We start from the raw sequence: 12,989 nt of genomic DNA, 5'->3' as shown, positions 1-12,989 counted from the left end.
TAATTAAACTAAAGAGCTTTGCAGAGCAAAAGGAACAGTCAGCAGAGTAAACAGACAACCCACAGGGTGGGAAAAATTTTTCACAATCTATACACCTGACAAAGGACTAATCTCCAGAATCTACAATGAACTCAAACAAATCAGTAAGAGAAAAACAAGCAACCCCATCAAAAAGTGGGCTAAGGACATGAATAGATAATTATCAAAATAAGATATACAAATGGCCAACAAACATATGAAAAAATGCTCAACATCACTAATGATCAGGGAAATGCAAATCAAACCCACAATGCAATACCACCTTACTCCTGCAAGAATGGCCATAATAAACTAATCAAAAAACAGTAGATGCTGGCATGGATGTGGTGATCAGGGAACATTTCTACAGGGCTGGTGGGAATGTAAGCTAGTACAGCCACTATGGAAAACAGTGTGGAGATTCCTTAAAGAACTAAAAGTAGAACTACCATTTGATCCAGCAGTCCCACTACTAGGTATCTACCTAGAGGAAAAGAAGCCATTACTCCAAAAAGATACTTGCACACGCATGTTTATAGCAACACAATTCACAATTGCAAATTCGTGGAACCAACCCAAATCCTTGTCAATCAACAAGGGGATAAAGAAACTGTGATATATATATAAGAAACTGTGATATATATATATATATATATATATATATATACACACACACACACACACACACACACATATACATACACACACGATGGAATACTACACCATAAAAAGGAATAAATTAACAGCATTTGCAGTGACCTGGATGAGACTGAAGACTCTTATTCTAAGTGAAGTAACTTAGGAATGGAAAACCAAACATTGTATGTTCTCACTGATATGTGGATGCTAAGCTATGAGGACAGAAAGGCATAAGAACGACACAATGGACTTTGAGGACTTGGGGGGAAGAGTGGGAGGGGGGTGAGGGATAAAAGACTATAAATATGGTGCAGTGTATACTGCTCAGGTGATGGGTGCACCAAAATCTCACAAATCACCACGAAAGAACTTACTCATGTAACCAAATACCACTTGTACCCCAATAACTTATGGAAAAATAAAATAATAATAAATTGTTTTAAAAAAACAGACAACCCACAGAGTGGGAGAAAATCTTCACAAACTATTCATCTGACAAAGGATTAACATCCAAAATCTACAAGGAACTCATACAAATCAGCAAGAAAAACAAATAATCCCATAAAAGAGTGGGCTAAGGACACGAGTAGACATTCTCAAAAGAGGATATACAAATGGCCAACAAACATCAAAAAAATGCTCAACATCACTAATGATCAGGGAAATGCAAATCAAAACCAAAATGAGATACCACCTTAATCCTCTAAGCATGGCAATAGTTTAAAAATCAAAAAATAATAGACATTGGTGTGGATGTGGTGAAAAGGGAACAATTTTACACTGCTGATGGGAATGCAAACTAGTACAACCACTACAGAAAACGGTATGGAGATTGCTTAAAGAACGATCCATGATTTGATCCAGCAATCCCACTACTAGGTATCTACCCAGAGGAAAAGAAGTCATTACATGAAAAAGATACTTGCACATGCATGTTTATAGCAACACAATCTGCAATTGCAAAAATATGGAACCAACCTAAATGCCCATCAATCAATGAGTAGATGAAGAAAATGTGATATATATATACACCATGGAATACTACTCAGCCATAAAAAGGAACAAAATAATGGCATTTGCAGCAACCTGGATGGAATTGGAGACCATTATTATTATAAGTGAAGTAACTCAAGAATGGAAAACCAAATATTGTATGTTCTCACTTATAAGTGGGAGCTAAGCTATGAGGATGCAAAGGCATAAGAATGATGCAACAGACTTTGGGGACTCGGGAGGAAGTGTGGCAGGGTGGTGAGGGATAAAAGACTACACATGGGGTACAGTATACACTCTCAGGTCATGGATGCACCAAAATCTCAGAAATCACCACAAAAGAATTTATCCATGTAATCAAACACCACCTGTTCCCCAAAAGCCTATTGAAATTTTTTAAAAAAAACTGATGTTGGCAAGATTATGGAGAAAAGGAAACACTTATATACTGTTGGTGGGAATGCAAATTTGTTCAGCCACTGTGGAAAGCATTTGGAGATTCCTCAAAAACTAAAAACAGAATTACCATTCAACCAAGCAATCCCATTACTGGGTATGCACCCAAAGGAAAATTAATCATTCTACCAAAAAGACATCTGCACTCATATGTTCATTACAGCACTATTCACAATAGCAAAGACACAGAATTAACCCAGGTGCCCAACGATAGTGGATTGGATAAAGAAAATGTGGTACATATAAACCATGGACTACTACACGGACATAAAAAGAATGAAATCATGTTTTTTGCAGCAACATGGATGCAGCTGGAGGCCATTATTCTAAGTGAATTAACATATAAGCAGAGAAACAAATACCACATGATCTCATTTATATGTGGGAGATAAGCATTGGGTACACTCAGACATAACAACAGGAACGATAGACACTGGGAACTCAAAAGGGGAGATGGGGGGGGAAAGGGTTGAAACACTACCTCTCAGGTACTATGTTCACTATTTGGGCAAAAAGATCATTAGAAGCCCAAACCCTAGCATCACACAATATACCCTTGTAATGAACCTGTGCATGTACCCCATGAACCTAAACTCAAAAATCAAAAACAAGTATTTGGATAATTTTTTTAAATAAGCAAATAAAAAATAAAGATGTGTTTGGACAAGATGAATAAGGAAGGGAAGGGTACCTCTGGGGAATATGGCACAGTGTTATCATTATAACAGAGGTAGTCTTATAGTGTTATCACTATAACAGAGGTAGAAGATGGTAAAAGGACTTGGCAACATTCCTCTCCACCAAGGATGGTCTGAAGTATGGAAATACTAAGAGGAAAATGAGGTCTGCCTAAGAAGATTGGGTGAGAAAATAGCAAAGATCATCAAGCAACTTTAACTCAAAACTCTAAGCCAGACACATTTCTAATGCAAGGAAATAAAAGGACTTTCAGGTTTGAGCTCAGACCATCATTAATAACCTTGTGAGGAATCACAATCTGTAGAAGAAAGGCCAGAACACTGCTCCAATTTTTCAGAGTTGCTCTTTCCAACTCTGGAAATAATGATCCACTGAGCTTGACATAAGTCCTCAGAAAATTCTACAATGGATAATTTTATATGACTTTTGAAAATAATTATGTTACAGACAAAGTGTAAATATTATCAACTTGACACAGTGAAGGCAAAATTACAGCTGAGAAAAAAGAGAAGGTGAGGAGGCATTTAAAAAGTGGCAGAAAGGATAGGAATATGAATATCCTTATCCTACAAAGTGGATGGTCAAGAGATTATGTTCATAGCTGATTGAACAAAAAAGAGGAGTTTAAGTACATTATTCTGAGTTACAAAAGTTAACTTTAGAAGAACTAAAAACAGTGATATTATATTACAAAAGAGAAGAGAGATGGGGGTGGAGAATGAGCAAAATTCTCATCTACAATAGTGTCTACAATGAATGAACCAAGAATTCATAGTAAGCATGTTTTTAAAGTTACAGGCATTACCAACAAAAGAAAGCAGAAATGGTTAAAGGTGAGGATTTCTGAGAAGGGAGGAGTAGGACAGAATAATGATTATTTTCAGTATAAGCCCTTCCACACTACATGATGCTTTAAACCATGTTTATGAATTACTTAAATTTTTTAAAAAATCATTTTTCAAATGATACATTAGTAGTTCAGAAAAAGCTGCTATTTATCTCTAGGACCCCTTATATGCTCACCAAGAATAATTCATGCCACACTAGCCTGGATAGGAGAGGAGCTTTGTTGAAATAGATCTTTTTTTCCACCTCACACAGTATTCAGAATACAATATACATCTAAGAACTATCTCTTGAATGAATTAATGAATGAAGAAATGACATCTCAATTTCAGCCTAAGTCTCAAATGATGTCTTTTTTTGTGCAATGAAGGAATGTGGGTGGAGGAGGGTACAGTGGGGTGAGTTTTTTGGATGCGCCTGAGTCTTTCCAATCCAAGAGCCCTGAAGTCAGGCATTGGCGGTAATTCTAGATATCTCCCAGTGATCAACAGCAGCCTCTGAATCACTGTTACCAAAACCTGCCAGCAACCACGCTCAGCACTGGCCACAGAGACTTCATCCTCCCTGTGCCCAGATATGACTCTAGCTTCACAAGAGTATCCAAGTACTGATGGGTAGTTTTCCCTCTGTACATGTTAGGATCTATTAAACCATCCAATCTCCAAACGGAGACTTGGAGTATATCTTTTAAATAACATGAAAACATTATTTTGTGTGAAGCTTGCTTTTAAATACTGTGGCTTCGTGTTTGTAATTTAGCAATTAATCTGGCTTTGAGTTTCTTTGCTGCCAGAACATCTTGAAACTAGATTTCCATAGATAAAATGGACCACTCAGAGAGTTAAGTCGAGAGATAAAAGAGTGCATCCAAATTCAGAGCAGAGTGAATTAATTTTCCAGGTCTAGCTGGTTTTTGAATACATAACTTTGCTTAAGAAAATTTCCCAATATCTGTTTTTTTTTTGTTTTTTGTTTTTTGTTTTTAAGGACAAGGATAGGGGGAGGAAAGAATGAAAGAATGCCATTGGTCCTGAAAGTAACTGATTCATTCTTCTTGGGTTTTTTTCGGGTTAGTTGGTTTGTCTGTTTGTTTGTTTTTTTGAGATGGATTATCACTCTGTTACCCAGGCTGGAGTGCAGTAGTGTGATCTCGGCTCACTGTAACCTCCACCCCCTGGGTTCAAGCGATTCTCCTGCCTCAGACTCCCAAGTAGTTGGGATTACAGGCTAATTTTTGTATTTTTAGTAGAGATGCAGTTTTTGCCATGTTGGCCAGGCTGGTCTTGAACTCCTGACCTCAGGTGATCCACCCACTTCGGCCTCCCAAAGTGCTGGGATTACAGGCGTGAGCCACTATGCCCCGCCTAATTCATTCTTCTTAATGCTAGGTGAAGCCACAATTTTAGTCACAAAAGAAAGCTTTGGAAATAATTGATGAAATAAGCTTAAATATACCTTTGTTTGATATAGGACAATGTGTTGGCTGATAACTTGAAATTTTTCTTACACCTAAAAGTAGCACCTTCCATTTAAATTTAATATGCTAGGATATGCTTGAAAGAAAATTTAAGGCCTTTGAGTTCCCATGGAGGAAGTCGGTTTTGAAATGAGTTTTGAGAGATGAACAAGATTTCACCAGGTAGAGTCTGGAATGGGAAATCATTTCAGGAAAAAAATAATGTGGAAATTTTAAAATAAATAAATGTAATTTCTGACAGCTCTGTCAGAATGTCACTTCTGAAGTAAAAAGTAAGTTAACACAAACACTTCCTCTCAAATAGCTCAGCTATTCCCTGCCCTGAGCCTCCCTTACCATCCTTCCCACCGCTCTCCCTCCCTGCTGCCCGCCCATCACCCCTCCGTGAAACAAACACAGCATATCAAACTGGAAGGCAGTGATGATGAGACAAGGAGTCCCACTTGACAGGAGCAAAGCTGAATAGCTCTTTAAAGCCAGACTCGAAAGCTCTGCCATTTGAGCCTTCATGTCATTTCATGATAAATGATCCTTTCCCAACAGTTTGCCACTGCTATTAAACAGGGGTCCTAACAGGGCCCTCCCATCTACACTCTACCTTTGTAATTAGCACGTTTGGTCTCTGTGCATGTATTTCATGGGTGACTCACTTATAAGCTAAGTGATAAGTAACCAAATTACAAGGCTATAAATATATCAACTGCTGCCTGGGAGAAAGCCTGAGTGGTTTCGTTTATGAAGTCAGCAATATTCTGAACTGATTCTTACAACAGAGCTTAGTTTTCTTTTCCTCCCTCCCCCTCCCCACTTAGGTAATTTGATATTGTATATATCTCCAATTATAAATCACAAGTGAATTATTGGAAAAATGTAACTTGGGCCTGAATGATTTTAATTAGAGCAACATTTTTTATTCATAAGAAGCCTTAGCTGGACAATTTCCAAAGAAACTACATCCACCCAAAACATTTGGAAACAGGCAAGAACTCTTGGTATGTAAAGCAAATCTGGCCTTCACCAACTGTCTTGCTGTCTTGGTACCATCATTGTGTTTTATCTGTCCAAATGGGTGCCAGTTACTAAATTTTAGAAAGAAATGTATTAGGTAAGAGTCCCCAAAGTGTGATTTCACATGTGAAAAGGACAAAAGTTGACGATAATCATTATTATAATGAAGACAACTAACACTGAATGGAAATTTACATTCAACACTTTCCCTGTTTCTACTGTCTAGTTTACCCTCCACACTGACAACAGAACTTTTTTAAAAATTATCATTTTAATAATATAAGGATAGGGTCTCACTATGTTGCCCAGGCTGGTCTCAAATTCCTGGGCTCATGTGATCTTCCCGCCTTGGCCTCCCAAAATGCTGAGGTTACAGGTGTGAGCCACTGTGCCCAGCCAGCAGAGCTATTTTTATTTAACTTTTAAACATTGTCCTTCTTCTGCCTAAAAACTTCTGTTAGCATAAAGACTGAGAAATTAATCTTGACTCCTCCTGTACTATTATTTGTCATGTTGTAGTTCCATCTCCTCCTTGAGAGTAAGAGCATGTTTTACCCATCTTTGTATCCTAAGCACCTACCATAGACCCTGACACAAAATTGGTGCTTATCAAACATTTCTGTTGAACTACGAACTGAACCTCTTTAAACAAGAGATCTGATCTCATGTGAATACACATATATATGTTTTCTATGAATTTCTTGTTGTTTTAAACTTAAAATTGAAACTTCTCAATGTGACATAGGGGACTTTTTGCAATCTGATTCCGATCTTCCATTCTGGCATCATCCCCTACCCCTCCACCTGAGCACCATATTTGTGCTCAGCTTCTCCGATATTAGGGCAAAGTTTTGTTCTCCTCCTAGGCCCATTGTCTTTTTAATATTCAGTTAAATATAGAACAAATGATCTCATTTAATGGAAGCTGAGTCTTGAGGCAGCACCAGTAAAGGTCAGAAGCAGAGACAAGAGTGAATTGTGGAATATCGGAGCAAAAGCCAGAAAACAAAGATACTGTTAAAGAATGGGAGAGAAAATTCAGACTAGAATTTTTTTTTTTTCTAAAAGCTAGAACATGACTATGGGTAATGTTTACCTATGCATGGGATAAAGAAGAAAGGGATGCATTTCACCCTGAGAGATAAAAAATTAGAAAGTTGGTCCCAAGTTTAAGATAACCCCTAGAACAGAACTAGATGTTAGGAAATATGTGCAGAGTTCCTCACGAAGTAAGTTATTTTATTGATGATGATGAGTCAGTACAAAGTCACCACAATAGTACCATGCTCCATGTTTGCTATCACCCTTGTTACAAACACCTCAGTCTCCGTTGAGCCTATCATCAGACAGTTAACAAGGAAGGTGGGTGTCATGAACAGGTAAGAGACAACAGCTGGGCTCTATCAGTAGGGTCAGGGTTGCAAGGCTTCCAGGAGACATACAAACAGATGAGATGCTGAGAAACCTTACCTCCCAAGGTTGAACAAGATCATCAGAAGTCAATATTTGCAGCGAGTTTTACAGGTGATTCTTCAGGCCTTACCATAGCAACCTCACCAAGGAAACAGAAGCCTAAATGGCCAAATGACTTGTTGGGAACATGTGGCAAATCAGTAGGATAAAGGCATTTCCCTCGGTCAGTTTGGTGCTTAGTCCTTCAAACCATATTGTCTCTCCTTTTAAACATGTCTCTGCTCTATGGATTAAAAAATCTTGGAAACTTGAGATGATGTGCTTGCTAATTAAGAATGTTTCCATTTCTCTGAATTGCTCCTCTTAAATCTTTTCATGGGAAAGCTATAACAAACCCCTCTTTATTACTAAATAGGACTGGCCCAATGAGGTCAGCTGCTCCAAGGAAACTGTCTCTGCTTATAACAGTGACTGGACTGCAGTACAGCAATTCTCTCCTGCAGAGAAAGTGGAATCAAGACCAAAAGAGGAAGGAGCAAGATGCAAAATTCAATCTGAATTTCATTTGAGGCAAATTGCATTTATCTCTCTAGATGTATTCAAGATTTGTAGGAGTGGGGAGGGGAATAGCATAAACATATCTATAGGATTGTATAATTTTTTAGCCAAATGATGAAACTGAGGCCCAAAGATATAACACAGCAAATTATTAGCAGAGCTCTGACTAGAACTCAGAGTCCTATGGCCACTTTCATTGCAAGAGGAGGCAGAGCAGAGAGTGTGGTTTCCTGGCCTGAATCCTGGCTCTGCAGCTTACCAGCTGTATGACCTTGGGTAGGTTTCTTAAAGCCTGTACTACGTTTTCACGTCTGTAAAACAGTGGCGATGGATCCTCCCCTGAGGTTGTTGTAGGGTTTAAATTAGTGACTACATGATCAGTGCTTACAACAGCGCTTGGAACTTAGAAAGCAATTACCGTTAGCCTCATTTTGACTTAGGATCTTTTCCAAACATTTCAAACAACACACCAAAAACACTGAAAGCAGAAGGAGGGAAACACCATGGAGCTGGAAAGCAAGCTCTTCATATAAAGCCCTTACCCATCCAGTCTCCTTCATACTTTGTGATCCTTTAAAGCAGGCTACACTATCTTTTCCTGTGTCTAGTTTTTTTTGCCAACTGGAGCTAAACATTTCTTTTTTTAACTTTTTAAAACTATCATCCTAGGATGCATCTTCTCAGCAATAGCTTACTGGTCATGACAGCCTGTACAAAATTCTCTTTTACCCAGGAGAGTGAGGAGTTCTTCACTGAAGCAGCACAGTTCCTCTCTCTCTCTCATCCCCCCAAGCCTGTCCCCCTAAGGGTGTGATGAACCTTGAGTTCAGTCATACACCCTGATCTCATGTTGGGCATGGAAAGGAAACAGTGTTATTCTGAGTGACTGTGAATGAATGAAGGTGAGTGGTGCTCCCTCCCTGAGAGGAGCTGCTCCCTCATAACAGCTTAGGAGCCCTAAGGAGGCTCACACATGAACAAAGTCTTAGAGGGAGACGGTGGATTCCTGCAGCGACCTCAAGAAGGAAGTGTCTGGGTATTTCTAACGTGTATTAGCGAGTTGGGGTGGTACTCGTATAAATTCAAGAAATGCTAAGGAGTAATTGAAAGAAATAGGGAGAGATCGAGAAGCAAAATGAACAAAATGCCTGATATGTCCACGTGCCAGTGAGGAGGTGAGGTGTGAGGAGAAGTCTGTCACAGTAGCCAATAAACCATGAGGGCGAAAATATTTGGCTTGAATAACTTAGAATCTGCTCCCTGCCTGCAGCAGAGCTTGGCAGTGAGTCAACAAATCCAGAACAGAATTTCTTTTTCAGGAGCCACAGAGAGTTCATTTACATACACACACACACACACACACACACACACACACACACACACACACACTTCTCTTATAGATATACCCTTTATCAGCAAGGAGACTAATATGGCATTTCTTAGTATATTTCCAAAACTGTGTACATCATTGACAGTCATCAGGACCTATTTGCCAATAAATCAAAAGGTTTTTTGAAGCATTTTTTAAAATTCTACTAAAAAAATGCCACATGTGTTCTGATAATTTCTTCTATCCTCTCCTTTTGTTAAAAGTGAAACAAAAACACAAGGACATAACCAAAATGTTAATAATGGCTATATCTGGGTTGCATGATTACAAGGTAATTTTTTCCTCTTTTTTCTTTGTTGATTATTTGTATTTTCTAATTCATCTTCCATAAACATATATTATTTTTCTAGTATTCAAAATAAGAATAAAAACAGAGTGAGCAAAAGCAAAAAATTTCCAGAGAGCAGTCTTGCTATATTATATGATGTTCCTTCAAATGACACCCCCTTGAACCAACAAGTACCAACGATAATATTCTTGAGAAAGGGCAAGACCACCACAGAAGAGCAAAAGGGATTAAGAACACAGGGGAATCACAGAGATTATTTCACAGTCTTGCAGAAATGCTAAAACCTGCATAGTGACTGTGCTGAGCAAAATGTCACACTGAGAAGGCTCTGTGGGACATCAGCGTCTATCAGGTCCATGAGCAGTAGGACCCCCCAAACAATTGCAGGTCCCAAGCAGGCTTTGCAACTCAGTCAGAATTTTCCTTTTTGCAAAGGTATTCCCAGTATTCACATTGCACATGTGTTTAAGTGCTAATTAATTGGGTGTAAATAGAGGAGAAATCCATGTAATTCAAGCTAATGCTATCTGTGAATGTCATTTTCCAAATTGAAGCCCATTTGGTTCTAGATATCAGCCAGACTACAAAGTAATCATGCACTCCAAAACCTGTCCTGCCCCACTAATGGGAAAACATCCTTAAAAAGCCCATTGAAGAGGCTCACCTGGATTTCAGGTAACATCTTTCTCACCTCCACCTGGTGCCTTTGATATTGAGGAAACCACAATATCAGAAACTCTGATCTTTCCTTTTAAAAACCTTCCCAAGGATTGGCATTCAATTCAGAATCATCAGTTCCTATAAACTACAAGTATTTTACATGCACTGGAGATCACACCAGCTTCAGTTGTCATGTCCCAGGGTCTTTACTGTGCCAGAGGTGACGAGCAACCTCGTGTTGTCTAGTCATTTCAATGTACATGTCATAGCTCAGGCATGTCCCAACCCAAGGCAGCGTGGTGTCAGTGGAAGAAGCTAAGATTCAGGCAAGAGAAGGGCTGGTCCCTAAGGAGGAATGGAGGTTGGGGTGAGAGACCCCAGTCCAATGAGCAGTATTTGAAGTGGAAAAAGCACATTTGGGCTCACATCAGGAGTCATATCTCAGGGGATCCAGTGTCATGAACAAGTGAGGGACAACAGTTGGGCATAGGTAAAAGTTTACCTGCAACCAACCCCCAACCTACATGGCATTTCCAGTAGCTCCATCTCTATCTGAATCATCCACCTGGTATTCAAGTTCATGTAAGCCCTTAACTATCTCCACAGGGTTTGTAATTAGACTCCTCAATCTCAGCCCTGGAGCTCAACAGGCAGCACCCCCTTACACTACATGCCAGCTGTTGTCACGCATTGCAGCTTTTCTCCCAGGCTTCCATATTATGGCTTCATTACATATGGCCACAGGGTGAGGAAAGGGCATCTGACACATATATGAGCCCCACACTATGTGACCTTGGGCAAGTTACTTTTATAAACTTCAGTTTTCTTATCCAGAAAATGGGAGCAATAGAGTTCCTTCATCTTAGGGTTGTTATGGGGATTAAATGAGATAATGAATGCAAAGAATGCCTGCCACGTGGTAAGTACTCAATAAAAACAGGATGGTGGATGGATCTTCTTAACCCTGGCCACATGCCTGGAACCCAACCTACCACAGTGGTTCTCAACCAGGGGTGATTTTGCTGGTTGCATTAACTGAGAGGGGCTGTGGGGCTACTAACCTCTAGTGAGTAGGGGCCAGGGATGCCACTCACCATCCTACAATGCACAGTGCAGCCCCGCAATAAAGAATTATCTTGTCCAAAATGTCAACAGTGCCAAGGCTGAGAAACCCTGTCCTGCTAGTAGCTTCACTTGACTTCCTTCGGCCCATGCTGCTACTGTGTCCCCCACGTTGGAGTGGCTTTGGAGCCCTTCCCAGGACCGGCCCATCCCACTGTCTCCTGAGCTCCCATTTGTGAGACTGTTTGTCAAAAGGCCGCCAGGCTTTAGTGCCCTGACCTGAGTCCATAACAGCAGGAGACAGGCAGAATCACCAGGCCTCTCTGACCAGAGACAGGCAAGAAACTGCCTCCTGCAGGGCTGTGGCAAAGAGCCACGTGAAAACAGGCACAGCAGCCAGTGGAGCGTTCCACCCAAACTGGCTCCACACCAGGCCCAGACCATGAGTCACCACCACATGCTGCCGCCTCTCGCCACGACCTTTCTTTATCCCTTCATTAGCCATAAATCTTCAGGAGCAAAACAGCAGAGAACAGACTGGGAAGGCCCTGGCAGAATATCACACCAGGCAAATGCCCAAATCAAAATTCAGAGTTAAATGCCCGGGCCCTGGATGAATGCCAGTCACGGCAAAGCAAGGCTCCCCCGAGCCATCCCTGCAAACCAGGGAAGTGGACAAACGGAACCTCCACTCTTGCCATAATTTAAATCATGTGACAACACTGGGGCATCCTCTCCAAGAGAAGAAACAGATGTGTTTAGCAATACCCAGATGGCTGGAGACAAACTGAAGAACCTGTGCAATGTTTGCCTCTAATTCATGCTTGCACCAAAAGTCCCCGACTCCTCTAATGTCAAATGGAATTAATATTAAGTCTTTCATGCAGTGTTGTGAGAAACAATTGACACAAGTTATTAAGTGGTGCTTTGACTCAAAATAAAGCAAATTTGGCTTTTTTGTTTTCTGGTTGTTTGCTTCCTTTTTAGAAGCAAACCATAATGCTGGGGAAAAGCCTGGCAGAGGCAGCTCCTCCTACACGGAAACTTTACTCTGCCCAATCTCACTGGAATTGTCTTTTTCAAAGTGTAGTTTCTAAGCACCTGTGTTAGAAGTACCTAGAGAGCCAGAAAACAAGCAGATTCCTGGGCCCTACCAACAACCTACTGAATTGAAATGTTTGTGAATAAGGCTTTGGAAGGTGCCCTTTTAACAAGTTCCCCACTTGAGTTTTATACCCCCTAAAGTTTCAGAACCTTGTAACAGTGAATAAACCCTGGGACAGCCCAGCCACTGCCACTATTTCCAGCAGTAAGAAGACAGACTGGGTCCTTAGCTTGCTTCTTTCCTCTGCCAATGGTACCCCATCTTATGCAAGTGAAGCTTCTGGACAAGACAGGACAGACCCGGAATGACTCATCTGAGCTAAACTGTCCACCCTCACACTGATGTTTATAATACTGACAGCAGCAAATTGCCATTT

At 40.3% G+C, this 12,989-nt stretch overlaps 3 annotated features.

Moving 5' to 3' along the window:
- Window positions 5,766-5,935: an enhancer, noted in NCBI's record as "experimental_73985 CRE fragment used in MPRA reporter constructs". NCBI's record gives its function as "activates a minimal promoter by MPRAs in K562 erythroleukemia cells, with activity observed for both the introgressed and non-introgressed 4:129314454 or rs76828607 variant alleles {active_cell/tissue: K562}" and the evidence as "EXISTENCE:reporter gene assay evidence [ECO:0000049][PMID:34662402]".
- Window position 5,850: a transcriptional cis regulatory region, noted in NCBI's record as "Neanderthal adaptively introgressed variant 4:129314454 (GRCh37/hg19 assembly coordinates) or rs76828607 in the experimental_73985 CRE". NCBI's record gives its function as "modulates activity of the experimental_73985 enhancer by MPRAs in K562 erythroleukemia cells {active_cell/tissue: K562}" and the evidence as "EXISTENCE:reporter gene assay evidence [ECO:0000049][PMID:34662402]".
- Window positions 10,280-11,479: an enhancer, noted in NCBI's record as "CDK7 strongly-dependent group 2 enhancer chr4:129308825-129310024 (GRCh37/hg19 assembly coordinates)". NCBI's record gives its function as "activates an origin of replication core promoter dependent on BRD2, BRD4, P300/CBP, MED14 and CDK7 cofactors, with strong dependence on CDK7, by STARR-seq in HCT116 cells {active_cell/tissue: HCT116}" and the evidence as "EXISTENCE:reporter gene assay evidence [ECO:0000049][PMID:35650434]".

This window comes from Homo sapiens, chromosome 4, assembly GCF_000001405.40.
Source record: "Homo sapiens chromosome 4, GRCh38.p14 Primary Assembly".
Classification (NCBI taxonomy): domain Eukaryota; kingdom Metazoa; phylum Chordata; class Mammalia; order Primates; family Hominidae; genus Homo; species Homo sapiens.
This window is presented reverse-complemented; position numbering and strand designations above follow the sequence as displayed.